Consider the following 19415-nt stretch of genomic DNA (forward strand, 5'->3'; position numbering starts at 1 on the left):
CCAGTATTACTCTCCCCTCTGTTCTGAGCCTACTTGCTCCTTTGTAATGTTTCCACTTTCTGTCCCACTCCCTAATAGATGATTTGTCCTCTCTGCCCAGCCCCCTAGTTCTGATATTTGGATTGTCTGTGATCTGGGTAGTACTTAGGAGGTAGAATCAAAGCCTTGTTGATTGGATTGGGAGTTTCTAACTTCCTATTAAAGGCACTGATTAAGCATCTATTGTATAAAGTAAAGTAAGATTATGATCCAGTAAGAAAGATTCCACAAGTAGCGCAGGAAGAATTGGTTTCTAGTACACTTCATGCTTCAGGACCAGAAATCCAGAAAAAAATTCTGTGGTACGTTAAGTGTTTACTGTAAGTTTCATTTCCATGTGAAAAACTGTAGTTAGCTAAAAAGTACATCCATGAAGAATCCTGATTAAACTTGTTTAATCCTGGTTAAACTAGCTACTAGCTAAACAATAAGTTCACAACAACTCAAGAACTCTGTAAAAGCATTTCCTCTGAATATTTTATTCAGAAAAAAACACAAAAAGATAAGGCAGAAACAAAAATCCCAGTCATTTGCAGTATCTGTCAGCTTTCAATTTGGTTCTCTTGTTTAAATAAAGAAAAATAGTAAAATTAATCTATGTAAAACATGTCATATATATTCAACTGCTACTAAATATAAAAAGCTTTAAAACTGTGTGTTCAATTTTGGTTAGTGTATTACCACAACACTTATATTAAAATATGTATACTTTTAAATTTGGTTTCTATAAAAAATGGATTCTAATCTTATAAAAGTTATTTCCTAATATTCAATAAATGTTGCCTAAGGGCTTTTTCAATCCAAATAGCAATTTTAATTATTCTGGAATTTAAGGGTGCTCTAAATTTCCATTTAACAGGGTGAGAACGCTGTATTATTACAAGTGAAAAAAGTTACAGGACATAGAGCTTATTCCGTTTTAGACTCCACATCCTGATTATATTTTATATCCTCTTCTTGATTTCTTACAACTAGATACATACTCATTTGCTCAGCTGGAAAAAGTTCTTAACGTTATTTACTGACTTTAGGTATGAACTCTACCAGCTAGTTAACAGGAAATATGTAATTAAACATTGACTTTATCAAGTAATGTAAAAAAAGGGTAAGAGTAACTTTCCAACATAGGACTTGAATGAGCGGCTGGTGATTATCAAAATCTGACACTTAATTGATTTATACTTGTACACTCACAGCTAAACGTCTCTACCTGTTTTTCTATGTTGTAAATCTAGGACATCACTTATCTACATAGGAATAGTAATAAATATTAATAATGTGCTATGATAAACATCCTGCACTCTTCCAAATCTTACAATAAAACTGCTTCAATTTCACTTGTTTAGCTTTTATACTTAGTTTTTTAGTTGATCTATGCTTATTTTAAGGAACCTGAACTACTCTAACAGAATCCACATAATTTTTATATTAGTCAAACTGCTTCTTTCTAACTCTGGTTCTAATAGTTATAAAAATATAATGATAAATTTATGAAGTAGATACAGTCAAACCTGAATTTCTTAAAGTATATGTTTAGAATCGGTTATAATTTTTAGATATTCTTTCTTGAAAGTCTTTTCCCAAACTCATGATGTCCTCTCTAGGTAATATTGCCACACTCATAAATTAGAAATAAAGACAAAAATGTGAAAACTACAGTAATTTAAGAGAATGTAGGTTTTCTATATGCCATTTCTATTGGCTACTGAAAATAGTGGAAATAAGTACATAAATAGCTACCTGTCCAGAAGCGTCTCATGCAAAAATCCATCTTTCTGCGTCTTTTTAAGAATTTTACTGCTTCTTGACTTATTTTAAGTTTGTGGTCTTGGAAGCTCTGAAATTTCTTTCTGCAAAGAAAATGCCTTCATTGAAAAAACCTCAAACTCTGATTATACATATTTACTATTAAATTTATAAATACTGTTAATTTCTTTTTCACTTATTAAAAAAGTCTAATTGTAGGCCAGGCACAGTGGCTCATGCCTGCAATCCCAGCACTTTGGGAGGCCAAGGCAGGCAGATCACTCGAGGTCAGGAGTTCGAGAACAGCCTGGCCAACATGGTGAAACCCCGTCTCTACTAAAAATACAAAAATTAGCCGAGCGTAGTGGCGTGTGCCTGTAGTCCCAGCTACTCGGGAGGCTGAGGCAGGAGAATCACATGAACCTGGGAGGCAGAGGTTGCGATGAGCCGAGATCATGGCACTGCACTCCAGTCTGGGGGACAGAGCGAGACTCCGTCTTGGGGGAGAAAAAAAAAAAGTCTAATTATATTTTTTTAAATAAGCTGGAGCTTTTGAACAACAAAGGTGACCTCTCAAGAGGAGGGCCACTCATTGACTGGGTAGCACAAGGCCCCATTTCTATTAGGGCATGCTGGCTGGAGTCCCCTGTGTCCTGGCCATAGCACAGCCTTTGACTGGCATCACTCCCATTGTATGAATGAATAGAGAGATTGACTAACCCGACTGACTAGTTTTGGGAGCTGGTAGGATGATTAGGAAAACTGAACCCTCAAGAAAAGAAAAGCATTTAGCTCAGTGCTCTGTCCCAGAGGCTACATTGTGTTGCCTCTTCTTGTCCATCAGTTTTCATTTTTTCAGACAGGGTCTTGCTCTGTCACCCAGGCTGGAATGCAGTGGTGATCAGAGCTCACTGCAGCCTTGAACTCCTGGGCTCAAACAATCCTCCTGTCTCAGCCTCCCGAGTAGCTGGGCCTACATGCATGCACCACCATCCCCAGCTAATTAGGTAATTTATTTTGAAAGCACTTTGAGAAGCACTTCACTGTCAAATCTGTAGGTCTAAAAGGAAAAGCATACATACACATAATTGATTTCACATTGTTTTACATTTCCTTTGTCTTCTGGAATGTCATCTTTTTTCTTGGTTTCTCTTTCAGCACAGGATCTAATCTAGATATTGGAAAAGAGAATCCAATGGGTTATATGTTTATCTTCCACCTTCCCCACTTTACGTATCACATAAGAACATTCGAGATGATTTCTTATGCAGAAGAAAAAATTAACTGAGCAACTATATTCAGAAAAAGACAGGTTCTGGCTATGTGTTTTTACTTCATATATATAATCTATATGAGTAAGTGCTATCACATGCTTCCTCCGCAGCCCTTGTGTCAGAAACACTACAGACAAAATTATTTCAGAAAAATTTTACACATCAGATCTGTTAGGCAGTAAAGCAATCATTAACTAATTTAATTTTGTCCTCCAAGTCAATACACTAGGATCAAATTATCCCTAGTAGACAAGTGTTCATTTGATCAGATTGAAAGCTTAATAGCTATTTTAGATTGCACAGACTATTACCAAAGTATTAAAACTTTTAACATTACACAACTTGTTTTTAATTAATTGGAACCCACCTCTTTTACTAGCTCTTATATCCTCCTAAGTTTGGATAGATGTTTACTATCACATGTCATAAGTTAATTGATCTGCATTCAACAATTAGGATCGCCCACAGAACAGGTAATTGGCAATGGTAAGGACTCATGTCTCCTAAGGGATCTCTGTGGCCAGAGTCTAGTTCCAGGGCTGCTCAGAAAGTGATGACAAATAACGTGTTTGTGCCAATGACATCTTTGTGACAGTTTTTATTAGAGGGGTCCCAGACCTGAAAACATTCCCTGCTAGGGCCTGTAGCACAATGCTACCTTTAGTAAGAGGGATCTGTGTTCTGGTAGATAAGGCAAGGTCATAAAGGTGAAGGGCTGACAGAGATTAGGAGAGCCTGCAATTAAATGGTACGAAAAGAGTCCTAAATAATCACTGTTCAGAGCTTCCAAGTACTTGACTAACCAAAGAGACCCAGAAAACTTTGTATTTCATCTGAAAATTGCTTTAAACAGTGAAAAATGCAATCTTTGTGTAAGTATCTTTGTATCTTTGTATAAGTGCAAAGCACTGCACATATATTTGCAATTGTTGCCTTCAATAACACTTTTGTGATGATATCCAGATGAAAAATAATTTAAACATGATACAATAAAATATAAATAAATTAAATTAAATGTAAGTCACAAACCCATCTGCATTTCCTCCATGACCTGTTTCCTGAGAAGCAATGTGCTATGAAATACTGAGACTGGCCTCTGGAGTCAGCTGGGCCTGGGTACACATCCTGTCTTACCACACCTTGAAATCACTGTGATTTCCATGAACTGACTGACAAAAACCACGAGGATGTAAGGAGGGTCAGAGGCTGTCTTACTGTCTGTAAGGCTGAGCTCACATCCACCTCACAGGAGCATTATGGAAATTCAAGACTGCAACGCATGTGCCGGATGCATGCAACGAAAAAATATAACACTTCACTTCTCTAACTGTAAGAAAATACCTACATTTTAGATTGAAATTGTTTGAGCTTTAGATTTGAAATTATCTGAAATCAAGACTATTCTAAAAAGAAAATCAAACATATGACCGGAAATCTAACATGAAGCACATACAGAGAATTGATAGATGCTTTTAAATTACACTGGTAGTAGAGAAAAACGTAACATAAATTTTTATGCTCTGATTATAAGAACGAAGGCCGTTTTAGAAAAGGCATTTGCCCCCTCTCTTAGAGCCTTCCACTCTGGCCCCCACAATGCCTGACAGAGTAAATCTGGGTCAGACTGGATGCAACCAGTGATTCCCAAAAGAGACAAACAAAGCAAGGTTCAGGATGCTCAGTACTGCGATGGAATGCCAAGACACAGAAAAGCCATGTGTCAAGAAGGGGGGAGTTATTCTTTAGACACATCCTGATATATGTTTATCATTAAAGATCAGTGGCTTTTGTGAGTCTAAAAAATTAAGCCTTAAATGTTTTCATCAAATTCCAGTTAACTACCTGATTTATCTAGGTTATATTAACAGTATTATTTAGAATTTCACCTTGATATGAAGATGTCTGTGTAACTTTTACAATGATGTAAAACAAAGAGTAGGGTTAGGGAGGGCACAGGCCACTGGTGCAATGGATAACGCGTCTGACTACGGATGAGGGAATTTAGCCTGGAATAAGGAACTTTTATTTCCAGCTTAGTGACGCACACAAATTTTAAAAATAAAATAAAAATCATGTTTTATGTGATTCATGTTTCTCCTAATGCAAAGAAGACGGGTACTATTACTAAAAATATTTTTAAAATGTAAGGGCTAAGGCCCCAGAAGTTCTGCTATGATTTTTTATGTTTCATAGAGTGATTATCATCACAGAAGCTCAAGCATTACATAAATACAAATGCGTGTACCCCGACCTGGTAATTCTGCTTCTTGAAATTTATCTTCAGGTCCACCCGCACATCTACAAATTGATGCATATTCAATGTTATGTACTGCAGCACTGTTTATAAGAGCAAAAGACTGGAAACAGCCTAAATTTCCATCTATAAAAGACTAAATAAATAAAGGTACATCCCTAAAATGGAATATTATGTGGCGTTAAAAAAGAGAGAGAGAGAAAGAGAGGAGAAGCAAGAAAAAGAGAAAGCTTTCTACATTCAAACTAATAGTAGAAAACTCTCCAAGATACAATTTTAAAGAAAAAAAAATCAAAGTCGAGAAAACTATAGAGGAGGCTGCCTTTAGTGTAAGACAGTTGAAAATTATAAATATATTCATATGTTTATAAAGAAATTTTAGGAGGCTATAAAAAAACAAAACAAAGGGAAAGAGGAACAGGAGCTGGGACATAGGTGAGCAAGATGCATGGCAGGCATATGTCTTCATCTTCTTATGCTTTTATTTAAAAATGTTGGACCACGTGTACATGTTATCTATTTTAAAAATTAGATTTTAAAATACAAGCAAGAAAACAAGAAAATGAAAGCATAAAAAGAGCATGTGGAACTACCAGTAAAAGATACTAATCCATGGAGATAATGGCAAGGTAGCTCCTAGATGCACTGATTTCTCTACCACACTGTATAAACAAGCCATCAACTATGCGATTTGTAATTAAAAATGAGTCTATTTGAAACACCACATTATAAAAAGCTATTAAGTAAATCTTCAAAGTGACAGTAAATGATGACTTAACATTTTAAAGAGATACAGTCACATCGCATGTGTGAATGCAGTCATCTGTATAAAATGTCATCATTACCTTCATCATTTCTTCTTCTCCTGCTGTTTTACTTTTTGCTTCTATGTCCCCTGCTTCATTGCATCTAATAAAGCAGCTATTTGAGGCCAACAAATCCATTTTCCCCTAAGTGAAACAAAATAACAAAATAGCCATGAGGATACTTCTTGTAGAAGAAATATTAAGTGTTTAGACTGAATGAATTTTTCCTCCCTGATTTAAAAATCACAGAAAAGAACTTAGAGAAAAACCTGAAAAATGTAATACAAGAACATATAGAAAAGGAAACCAAAATCACCTTTCATTTTGCTTTCAAAGATTGCCACAATAAATATTTGTAGTGTATCTTCCTAGTAGGACTAAACTCTAATTAGATGAGGTAGGATTGCTTCCTTTCTAAAAGATCTACTGAAGATAAAACTGATTTAGTTCTGTTTGAAAAATTAACTTTAAAGACAAGAACATAATTATGAATGCATACTTTATTCAAATATTAGCATTTTAAGTAAAATTTATTTTCTTCACAATTAGAAAACATGAAAAGGCATATACAATGCCTTTGGTGTTTTGAATTTAAGAATCAATGTCTGAGGGACTTTTGTGTGTGAAAATAAATATTCATGGCCGGGCGCGGTGGCTCACGCCTGTAATCCTAGCACTTTGGGAGGCCGAGGCGGGTGGATCACGAGGTCAGGAGATCGAGACCATCCTGGCTAACATGGTGAAACCCCGTCTCTACTAAAAATACAAAAAATTAGCCGGGTGTGGTGGCGGGCACCTGTAGTCCCAGCTACTCGGGAGGCTGAGGCAAGAGAATGGCATGAACCAGGGAGGCAGAGCTTGCAGTGAGCCGAGATCGTGCCACTGCACTCCAGCCTGGGCGACAGAGCCAGACTCTGCTTAAAAAATAAATAAATAAATAAATATTCATACACATTTTTCGTTGTTTAATGTTTGATGTATTACACTGCTTTCTATTAAACAAAACTTTAAAAACTGATTTTCTTGTGTATCTAAATCTGGGTTATAAATTTGGTTAGCTTAACTCCCGTAACAAATATAGTGTTTATTTATAACTTGTATTTGGTTGATTCTTTTGGAAAACTTGGAATACAATAACATTTAGACAAAATATTTATAAATACAATGATTACAAAATATGTTAACCTTATATCACATCCAGTTAAAAACGTGCTGATAATATGGATTTAATTTCTTAGTCAAGTCACAAGGGCTGGGTGGTCTCTCATCTCGATGGCTCCCGGTGAGCCCTGGAACATGGCGGTGTGGTCCAAGGCGATTTAAACCTGTGCCGCAGATTATTCAGCTGAGTCCTTTTTGCAATAGAGATTTAAGACCCTCTTTCATTTAAATTTAAATTTTTGAAACTTAGTGTCAAATGCTAAAATATCATTGGAACATTACTTTAGATTAGAAAATATTTTATTAATAATTCAGACAGAGTGTGATATGGTTTGGCTGTGTCCCCCCCAAATCTCATCTTGAATTGTAGTTCCCATAATCCCCACATGTTACCCAGTGGGAGGTAATTGAATCATGGGGGCGGTTAGCCCATGCTGCTATTCTCATGATAGTGAGTGAGTTCTCATGAGATCTGATGGTTTTATCCAGGACTTTTCCCCCTTTTGCTCAGCACCTCTCCTTGCTGCTGCCATGTGAAGAAGGATGTGTTTGCTTCCCGTTCCGCCATGATTGTAAGTTTCCTGAGGCCTCCCCGAACTATGAGTCAATTAAATCTCTTTCGTTTATAAATAGCCGAGCACTGTGAGAATGGACTAATAAATACGAGTGTCTTAATCCATTTTGCATTGTTATAAAGGAATATCTGAGGCTGGGTAATTTAATAAAATAAGACATTTATTTGACTCACGGTTCTTCAGGCTCTGCAAGAAGCATGGCACCAGCATCTGCTTCTGGTGAGGACCTCATGAAGTTTCTAACCATGGGGGGAGGCCAAGAGAGAGCAGGCATGTCACATGGCAAGGGAGGGAGCAAGAGAGAGGGGAGGAGTGCCATGCTCTTTTAGGCAGCCAGATCCCACAGGAACTAAGAGTGAGAATTCACTCAATCCTAACATAATGACACCAAGCAACTCATGAGGGATCTGCCCCCCTGACCCAAACACCTCCAACTAGGCCCCACCTCCCACATTAGGGATGAAATTTCAACATGATATTTGGAGGGAACTAATATCCAAACTATGTCATAGAGGTATGTGTGTAACCTCATTCATTTATGCATTCATTCAACAAAATATGTAGTGAGCACCTGCTATGTGCCAGGCACTGTGCTAGGCTGTAGATATGACTCATAAATAAGATTAATATTGCCACAGTCCTTAGGAGCCTAGTGTAGTTGGGGAGTAAATAAGCAAACAGATAATTTCTATACCTGGTAATTACTACCTTGATAGGGCAAAGAGGATTCTGTTTGTGCTGTAAAAGCACATGAAAAGTACAAAGTCAATCCTTGGGAGGTCATGGAATCTTTCCTAGGAAATGATATATAAGGTGGATAAAAAGGTAACCAGATACAGATGAGAAGAGAAGGTGGGCCAGAAATTTTGAAATACTGAACCAACTGGATGTCATTCACTGACATAGGGTAATAGTATAGATGACTGGATTGGAAAATGAAAAAGGAACTAAAAGTAATTAAATGAGCTGCAGACATGAAAATGAACACTTGGGAAGTCCTGGCAGGAAGTCATCAATAAGACAACATAATGAAGTGGAAAGTGGTTGGGAGTAAGGCTGACTTGGATTCAAACCCTAGTTTCACCACTTAATAGACGTGTTAAGTTGAACAAATCCTTTAACTTTTCAGAGCCTCAATTTTCCTCTTTGTAAAATACAGATAATAACATGGACACTATAAGGGTTTTGTTGTTGTTGTTGTTGTTTTGAGACGGAGTCTTGCTCTGTTGCCCAGGCTGGAGTGCAGTGCCTCGATCTTGGCTCACTGCAACCTCTGCCTCCTGGGTTCAAGCGATTCTCCTGCCTCAGCTTCCAGAGTAGCTGGGACTACAGGCGCACGCCACCATGCCTGGCTAATTTTTGTATTTTTTGTAGAGACGGGGTTTCACCATATTGGCCAGGCTGGTCTCGAACTCCTGATCTCAGATGATCCGCCTGCCTTGGCCTCCCAAAGTGCTGGGATTACAGGCGTGAGCCACCGCACCTGGCCCAGACACTGTAAGTTTTGGGGAGGATTAAATGGGATCATCCATGTAAATGCGCCTATCCCAGTCTCTAGCACACACTGAACACTCAAAAATGGGAGGTTTTGGTATTTCAGAAGAAAATCAGGTGTCGGGGAGTGTTAGTAGTAACCTTGAACTATATGCAAAGACTAAAGCTAGGAAGATAGGAAGAGTTTTACAAGATCCTTTTGGCTATATAGTTAAAGTTATTAGCAGTTAGAGTTTCCCTTACAGTTGACAAGTGAACCATACAAGTGAATGACTTGTGGTTCCTCAGATAAAAGCACGAGTCAGAGTTGTAATTTCTGTTTTGTGGACGTAATTGTTGACCAAGTGCACTGAAGGTAGGGATGGCCAGTAACAAAATTATAAAGCAGGCCTGTTTGTCTTCAAACACTCCTGAGTAAACTTGTCATTTCCTTGTAAAAATGCAAAATAGACTACTGAGTAGAGGTGATCAATTACAGAAATGCACTTACTTTGGCTTTCTTCTGAAACCTAATAAAATGACAGTAAAGGGATTATTTTTTTAAGGCAGAAACCCACAATGATGATGAAATTAGAAAGGAAGACAAGAACAACAAGGTTGTGGAATTCAGAAGCCATATAGACAAGAGGTAACACACCTGAGAAAGATGATCCCTAAATTTGTCTTGGAGAAAACTCAGAAGTACCTGACTACATCATAGACCTCCCAAACAGCTTCCAAATGTCAGATACCACTGAAAATGGGGATAAAGGTAGGGTCAAAAATAGGAGGATTGGGTTATAAGTCTGTATAAGAAGTTGTTAGATCCCTACATCCTCTCTTCAAACCTGTATAGCCAGATAATGGTCCCTCTCCCAGCCTGGCAGAGGCTGGAAAAGGTAAATAGAGAAACTTACTTCCTGGAGAACATTTGGCACATTTGGGGATGGAGTTCAGTAATATAAATGAAGGGGTAGTGAAAATTTATGGGAACATTTATAAGCTAACAGAACCCCATGTCTTTTACCCCATTCTAATTCCAGACCACTAGAGATTAGAAAATTATTCTCTGGGGTATCTGACCACTTCCAGAGGAAAGACATAAAGATGCTGATGTCGAGAATGACCCAACTAAATGGCCCAGCCAGATGACCCAGTTGAAGCTGGTGGACAAGAAGTTTCATTCATGGAATCAGAACTTCCAATAAGGTCTTTTAGTACCTCACTCCTAAATTTGAATAGACTACCAAAGATTATCAGACATCTAAGGGGAACTACCAGCATGAAAGGTAGAGACCAAAGCAAACAAACAAACAAAGAAAATAATTTGGAACTAACCAAGACTATGCTGGGAGAAGAAAACTATTATTAATATCCACAGAGCGTAGTACAGCCACTATGGAGAACAGTATGGAGGTTCCTGTAAAGACTAAAAATAGAACCATCATATAATTCAACAATCCCACTGCTAGATATATACCCCAAAGAAAGGAAATCAGTATATTGAAAAGATATCTGCACTCTCATGTTTACTGTAGCACTATTCATAATAGCCAAGATTTGGAAGCAACTTAAGTGTCCATCAACAGATGAATAGATTTTTTTAAAATGTGGTACATATACACAATGGAGTACTATTCAGCCATAAAAAAGAATGAGAAATGTCATTTGCAACAACATGGTTGGAACTGGAGGACCTTATGTTAAGTGAAATAAGCCAGGCCCAAAAAAACAAATTTCACATGTTCTCACTCATTTGTGGGACCTAAAAATGAAAACAGTTGAACTCAGGGAGATAGAGTAGGATGATGGTTACCAGAGGCTGGAAGGGTAGTTGTGGTGGGAGGTGGGTGGTTAATGAGTACAAAAATATAGTTAGATAGAATGAATAAATCTAATAGTTGCTAGCACAACAGGGTGACTACAGTCAACAATAATTTACCATACATTTAAAATAACTAAAAGAGTATAATTGGCATGTTAGTTACACAAAAAAAGGATAAATGCTTGAGGCAACGGATATACCATTTACCTGAATTTGGTTATCACACATTGTATACTTGCATTAAAATGCCTGCCGGGCACATGGCTCATGCCTGTAATCCCAGCACTTTGGGAGGCTGAGGCGGGCAGATCACCTGAGGTCGGGAGTTTGAGACCAGCCTGACTAACATGGAGAAACCCATCTCTACTAAAAATACAAAGTTAGCTGGGCATGGCGGCTCATTCCTGTAATCCAAGCTACTCGGGAGGCTGAGGCAGGAGAATCACTTGAACCTGGGAGGCGGAGGTTGCAGTGAGCCGAGACCGCACCATTGCACTCCAGCCTGGGCAACAAGAGCAAAACTCCGTCTCAAAAAAAAAAAAAAAAACTTATGTTCCCCATAAATATAAATACCTATTATGTACCAATAAAAGTAAAAAGTAAAAAGTTTCAATTGATTCACAACTTTAAAAAATATCCACAGAGGCGTAAGAGGAGATATTGTATTGCACCCACGAACCAGTCTTATGCTATTTCAGAAAGGGACATTCAAGAAACAAAAAGGGAGCTCTTGGAAATTTGAACAATAAATAATAGTAGAATAAAAAATTCAGAGAAAGTTTGGATGATAAATTTGAGCCAATCTCCCAGTAAGCAGAGCAAAAATATAGAAAATGAGAGTTAGAAAAGAAAAAGAAAAAAATTAAAGGACTAAAATAAGAAGTCCAACATCTAAATAAGAGGAGATCCACAAAGAGCAACAGAGATAAGAGAAGAAAGGAAATAATCAATAAAATAATTCAAGAAAATCCAAGGACATGAGTTCTCAGATTGTAAGAGACTACTTGAGTGAAAAAAAAAAAAAAAGAATGGAGTTAGACCCATCCCAAGGCACATTATTTGTGCGATTTTAAAATACCGATATATTAGTTTGCTAGAGCTGCAGTAACAAAACACCACAGACTGGGTGGCTTGAACAGCAGAAATTTGTTTTCTCATGGTTCTGGATGCTAGAAGTCTAAGATCGAGGTGACAGCAGTTTCGTTTTTCCTGACGCTTCTCTCCTTAGCTCACAGATGGCTGCCTTCTAGTTGTGTCCTCATACTGTCTTCCCTTGGTCAGTGTTGTCTGTGTCCTCGTCTCCTCTTCTTAAAGGGACACCAGTCATATTAGGTTAAGAATTGCCCATTAGACCTCATTTTACCTTAATTACCTCTTTAAAGGCCCCACGTCTAAATACAGTCATATTCTAAACTACTGGGGGTTAGGGCTTCACTGAGTGAATTTTGGTGGAAAGTGGGGCAGGGGACACAATTCAGCCTACAAAAACTGGAAACAAAGTGAAAATCCTATGTGTTTCCGTGCTCAGAAGACAGGAAGTACTCATACCCAAGAGTCAATAATTAAACTGGTTTCTCACCAGCAATTTGGGAGACTGGAAGTTGGAAGACACAGAGCAGTGCCTACCACATTCAAAAGAGAAAAGAGGCCAGGCATGGTGGCTCACGCCTGTAATCCCAGAACTTTAGGAGGCGAGGAGGATGGATCACCAGGTCAGGTGTTCAAGACCAGCCTGACCAACATGGTGAAACGCTGTCTCTACTAAAAATACAAAAATTAGCCAGGCGTGGTGGCGCATGCCTGTAATCCCAGCTACTCAGAAGGCTGAGACAGAAGAATCACTTGAACCCAGGAGGTGGAGGTTGCAGTGAGCCGAGATCATGCCACTGCACTCCATCCTGGGTGACAGAATGAGACTCCGTCTCAAAAAAAAAAAAAAAAAAAAGAGAGAGAAAAGAATTCCAACCCAGAATTCTCAACTTCACTGTGTCAGAGGATATGAAGTAAACAAATATTCATCTCTACATTTGCCAGTCCCTGTGGACTTAGGCCAGATAGTATAAATAATAGTCACAAAAGGAGTATGAATGGGATAAGAAGCCACTTCTAGTCTGAGACAATTAAGAGTAGTAGTGCCTTCTCTGCACTCTCACCCCCTCATTCTGACAGCTGAAGTGAAGGACTCCCAACTTCTGGAACTGCCCAATGAAAGTAGCCTTGTGTGAGTGTTAGCTGGCCTGCTTTGGTCTGGGATGCAAGTAGAAATAAACTCCTCTCATATTAAGCCACTAAGACTTTAGGGATATGTTGCTGTAGCATAGCCTAATGTAGCCTGATTACTGAACGAGCCACCCCATCAACTGAATCTATGTATATACTAAAAACATTTTAAGATATGCAAGGTCTCAAAGAGTTCACTCGATGCACACTTTTTCTCAGGAAGCTACTAGAGGATGTGCTCCACAAAAAATAAAGGTATAAATTGTGAAAGAGGAAAACATAGGATTTAGGAATCAAGGGAATTCAGCACAAGACAGAAGAAAAGGGAATCTGCAGCAAGATCCCTGAGCTGTGCATGTAACATAAAGGGCAACAATTTCCAACACAGAGCAGATCACAAGACCCTAGGATAGATTTCTTGAAGAAAATGAAATTAAAAGAATACTGGATTCATCTGAACATATGAAAAGGAGATTTAAGCAACTTTTTAAGAGCTTGGGAATGAATTAATGATAATATATATGGTATTATGCAACCAAAACTACAATAAAAACTCATTAAAAATTATAACTCATAAAATTATTAATTTCAGGGAAAATAAAAAGTTGAGTAGGAATGAAAAAAGAATCAGAGGATACTATAAAGCTCATCTGTGGATATTGTTTACATAGTCATGATAATGAAAAAGAAATAATCTAACCAAAATTAAACGTTGGAAGTGTGGGGAGATAGAAATGGTAGAGTGTATTCGGTATTTATGTGTTGGGGAGGATACCTGTAACTTTAACATTAGTGAGCTTTACTTTACTAAGGCTAAATAAACAAACTCAAGTGTCCAGAAAGGCTAGAGAAGAAGCTTACAAGAATGAAGCTATTGTGGTGTGATTCAATAGGGAATAGGTGGGGCCTTGGCAACATCAATTTGTAGTATCCCTGCCAATTGATACTACAACATCAATTTGTAGTATCCCTGCCAAAATTTAACTATGGAAAATAGTTAAATTTTAATATGCACACATCTGTGGTTGTGGTTATACAGATATATATATATATATATATATATATAAAATAAAAATTTATATATAAATAAATACATAAACAAACTCAAGTGTCCAACAGGGCTAGATAAGGAGCTTACAAGAATGAAGCAGTTGTGATGTGATTCAATAGGGAATAGGTGGGGCCTTGGCAAACCAAAAAACATATTCTATCTAAAGTGGATGGCCACAACTTGCTCCAGCTGTGGAAACTTGGGCCATGTACTGCTAGATCTAAGGATTTTCTTTTGAGAGATGCTAGATATATACGTTTTTTAAAAATAAAATTATCCTGATTTTAACAACATTGCCTTATTATATAAAACATACCTTGGAGGGTGTGGGTAAGACACAATGTCCTTGAAATTATATTTCACTAGGTTAATAAAATTGGCTCCGGAAGAAAATAATTTTAAACAGCAAACCAAAAAGTGAAGGCCTTCAAAACTAACAAACCAAAGGAAAACAAAACAAAATGACAACAAGAAAAAAACAAAGAAACAAAACCCCTGGACCTTACCATTTTTCTAAGGCATGTTGACATGATAAAATCAAAATTGCTTTGTGCTTATAAGGATCAAAGGTTATGCTTTTGACTTTATAAATTCAGAGAAAGAATTTAATTGGAATTATTTTTATGAATTAACTGAAGATCTAAGGCAACTGGATAATTTAGGTTCTGCTAATATCTAGAATATTCAAAGTTTATGTTTAGTCTGACACTAAAGAATCCATTATTTCTCTTGACTTCCAGGCTGGTCAGTGTCTTTCCTGTGTCATATACCAAACAATGTGTTAGAAATTGTCTTCTCACTCATAAACTAATATTTGTTCAGAGTAAAAAGTCAAGCAAGTAAATAATGAGAAAAAATTCAGTGTATTGTATAAACAAAGACAGAAGGCAGACCAATGGTTACCTGGGGCCTAAGCTAAAGAGATTAATTGTACACAGACACAAAGGAATTTTTTGGGATGGTGAAAGTGTTCTAAAACTGGATTGGGATGATTGTGGCACAACTGTATAAATGTTATTAAAACTCATTGAGTTGTACACTTAAATGAGTGGCTAAGTTGTGCTTTAATAAAGCTGTAATTTTGAAAAAGAATAATGGATGATCAACTGTGGGCTAGAGTATGATGAAAACACAAGACATTTACATAGTTTCAAAGTATCTCCCCATCAGGTACTTATTAACTGCATCAGGGAAACAGTAATTTTCTTGTGGCAGAACCCTGCTGACAAAGTTAACATTCTAGTAAAAGCACAGGTGGATGTCATGTGCCTCCTGAAGTGATGCACAGAGAAGGATGCAACATCAACTTGTAGTATCCCTGCCAAAAATATAAAACCTGAATTTAACCATGCTGAAACATAAGACAAATCCAAGTGAAGGAACATTCTACAAAACAACTGACCAGTACTCCTCAAGAGTGTCAAGGTCCTGGAAGACAAAGACTGAGCAATGCTTCTGATTAAAGTAGACTGAGAGGTGACAACTGAATGCAATGTGGGATTCTGGATTAGGTCTTGGCCCAGAAACAGGTCTTCGGTGGGACAACTGGCAAAATGTGAATAAGGTCTCTGGTTTTGTGAATGGTAGCGTATCGACGCTCATTACCTGCTTTTGATCATGGTAGTGATAGTAAGATATTAACATTCAGGAAAGCACAGTGAAGGGTATATGGGAACCTCTACTATTTTTGTAGCTTTTGTAAGTTGAAATTGTTTCAAAATGAGTTAGAAAATTAAAAGGAAGTTTTCTCTTTCAGCTGGGAAAACGGCAATGGATTAATAACAAGAAATTAATGGTGAAGTGGTGACGAAAATTCTACATTGCTTAGAAAGCAAGTAAGAAAATCAGTGGTTGTAGAGAAGTTCTTACATGAAGTAATAAAAATAAAAATTGTTATGTTAAGCATTTTCTATTTTCTTTTCCTCCCCTCCAAATGAAACAGCATACTATTCTGCATGTTTTTCTACCTAACAATGTATCTTTTTAATGACTCTTGTATTTTAAACCTAAAATTTTGATTAAGCTTCACTTAATATTAAAAAAGATAGTATAGGTCACGATGTTATTTGATGCAAACGTTGGAAAGACAGAATCTTCTTGATCCAAGAGCTTTTAGAATTCAAAGTCTGATTCTGGTTATTACTCTGCTCATTTAAGATAGTGAAATGAACATTTACATTCTGGCAACCTCAGAAGTACAACGAACAAAGGACACCAGCCAGGTAGGGCAAAGGCCTGTGAACCCCCTTTTGCTGTTAAATGTTTATCAGATGAGTGCTCTGTTTCTGTTATATTATATTGCTTTTCTCTCCAATGTTTACTGAGGAAGAACAAGTAGCTCCTCAGGCAAGTCAACTGTTAACTTTGCAGTTTTTATTTAATCTCCCAGGAATGTAACCCTTAACTTTAAAGAATGTAGTGACCATAAAACTTATAAAGCATGTTTCTTAAGGAAATTGTACCTGTTTATTTAATCTATCAGATATGAATGTTATAGAAAATTAAATTTGTCCACTTAAGCTGTAGATGAACTTTTCACCTTTCTGATCAGAAATTCACCATCTTATAGTATAGGTTCTGTTATTAATCAGAATATTTCATTTAGACTCTTTCTATCCAACTTTTTCTTAGAGGCTATTCAAAATAAAGGTGCTTCTAACAGTTTCATATCGAAATACGATGCAAAGCCTTGCTCTTCCATGGTATCCTTTGAGTGAGCCAAACTTATTTAGCCATTCCCCTATAGTTAAATAGCTAGGATGTTTCCAACATCTCACCTTTAAAACAATAGTGCTATGAATGTCATAAATGTTTGTATATGTAAATATGTAGGATAAATCCCTATCAGTAGAATTTCAAAAGGTATACGCAATCAGTATTTTCATACATATTTAAAATTTTCCATCCATACAAAGGTTGCTAACATATTTATTTAAAATTTTAAAAATAATTTTATATGCCTCTTGTAACCAGTAATAGGATGCAAAGTTTTTTTTAAGGTAACATTGCTCCTCTTCCCCCATTGTCTCTGTCATCTATAGTACTCCCTGAGGTAGTTCATGTTATTGCAAGGGTGTGTATCATCACAAACATATTGCTTCCACATACATATATCAGCATACATATATATATATGTATAGCATATATATATATGAGCACATATTAATATATGCCCATGCACATACAAGCATGTTTTTGTTAATTTTTACTGAAATGGAATCATACTGCATACTTATGAACAAATTGCTTCTTTCACCTTATATCACTTATAATTGTTATTCTACAAATCAGTACATATAAAAAATACATATTTACATATGTAATACTCTATCTTTCTGTTATAATTTTCTGCATGCACATGTATGCATATACATATATTCATAAACATAAAACTTAATCTAAACGGGATTTTTTTTGGGGGGGGTGATATGGTTTGGCTGTGTCCCCACCCAAATCTCATCTTGAATTCCCATGTGTTGTGGGGGGACCCGGTGGGAGGTAATTGAATTATGGGGGCAGGTCTTTCCTGTGCTGTTCTCGGGATAGTGAAAAAGTCTCACAAGATCTGATGGTTTTAAAAAGATGAGTTTCCCTGCATAATCTCTCTTCTCCTGTCTGGTTCCATGTGAGATGTGCCTTTTGCCTTCCGCCATGATTGTGAGGCCTCCCCAGCCATGTGGAACTGTAAGTCCAATAAACCTCTTTCTTTTGCAAATTGCCCAGTCTCAGGTATGTCTTTATCAGCAGCATAAAAATGAAACAATACAGTAAATTGGTACAAGTAGAGTGGGGCGCTGCTGAAAAGATACCTGAAAATGTGGAAGAAACTTTGGAACTGGGCAACAAGCAGAGGTTGGAACAGTTTTGAGGGCTCAGAAGACAGGAATATGTGGGAAAGTTTGGAGCTTCCTAGAGACCTGTTGAACGACTTTGCCCAAAATGCTGATAGTGATATGGACAATAAAGTCCAGGCTGAGGTGGTCTTAGATGGAAACAAGAAACTTGTTGGGAACTGGAGCAATGGTGACTCTTCTTATGTTTTAGTAAAGATACTAGGGGCATTTTGCCCCTGCCATAGATATATGTGAAACTTTTAACTTGAGAGAGATGATTTAGGGTACCTGGCAGAAGAAATTTCTAAGCAGCAAAGCATTCAAGAGGTGACTTGGGTGCTGTTAAAGGTATTCAGTTTTATAAGGGAAGCAGAGCACAAAAGTTTGGAAAATTTGCAGCCTGACAATGTGCTAGAAAAGAAAATCCCATTTTCTGAGGAGAAATTCAAGCTGGCTGCAGAAATTTGCATAAGTAACAAGGAGCTGAATGTTAATCCCCAAGACAATGGGGAAAGTGTCTCCAGGGCATGTCAGAGTTCTTCATGGCAGCCCCTCCCATCACAGGCCCAGAGGTTTAGGAGGAAAAAGTGGTTTCGTGGGCTGGGCCCAGGGTCCCTCTGCTGTATGCAGTCTAGGGACTTCATACCCTGCATCCCAGCCATGAATGAAAGGAGCCAAAGTACAGCTCTGTCTGTTGCTTCAGAGGGTGCAAGCCCCAAGCCTTGGCAGCTTCCACATGGCTTTGAGCCTGCGGGTGCACAGAAGTCAAGAATTGAGGTTTGGGAAACTCCGCCTAGATATCAGAAGATGTAGAAGTTTGCTGTAGGGGTGGGTCCCTCATGGAGAACCTCTGCTAGGGCAGTGTGAAAGGGAAATGTGAGATTGGAGCCCCCAAACAGAGTCCCTACTGGGGCACCATCTAGTGGAGCAGTGAGAAGAGGGCCACTGTTCTTTAGACCCTGGAATGGTAGATCCATGGACGGCTTGCACTGTGCACCTAGAAAAGCCACAGACACTCAATGCCAGCCTGTGAAAGCAACCTGGAGAGAGGCTGTACCCTGCAAAACCTCAGGGGCAGAGCTGCCCAAGACCATAGGAACCAACCCCTTGCATCAGCATGACCTGGATGTGAGACATGGAGGCAAAGGAGATCATTTT

General features: G+C 37.7%; 1 protein-coding gene and 1 pseudogene across 3 annotated transcripts in view; one reads left to right on the forward strand and one right to left on the reverse strand.

Annotated features, from left to right (window-relative positions):
• Positions 1-491: 491 nt before the first annotated feature.
• Positions 492-6245, reverse strand: FRG1KP (FSHD region gene 1 family member K, pseudogene; annotated as a pseudogene). Its single transcript, NR_189594.1, has 4 exons — positions 6159-6245; positions 2868-2956; positions 1780-1889; positions 492-601 (listed from the first exon to the last, which is right to left on the reverse strand). The product of NR_189594.1 is annotated as an FSHD region gene 1 family member K, pseudogene (transcript).
• Positions 6246-6562: 317 nt separating this feature from the next.
• Positions 6563-19415, forward strand: part of ZNG1E (Zn regulated GTPase metalloprotein activator 1E) — an 81063-nt gene continuing 68210 nt past the window's right edge. The window contains exons 1-2 of one of the 2 annotated variants that reach the window (XM_047422963.1): positions 6563-16259; positions 16582-18108. The gene's annotated coding sequence lies outside the window, so the exon portion shown is untranslated. Of the gene's footprint in view, positions 18109-19415 lie in introns of both variants that reach the window. The other variant, XM_017014456.2, reaches the window with a different exon arrangement.

The sequence above is a fragment of the Homo sapiens genome, chromosome 9 (genome assembly GCF_000001405.40).
Source record: "Homo sapiens chromosome 9, GRCh38.p14 Primary Assembly".
Taxonomy (NCBI): Eukaryota; Metazoa; Chordata; class Mammalia; order Primates; family Hominidae; genus Homo; species Homo sapiens.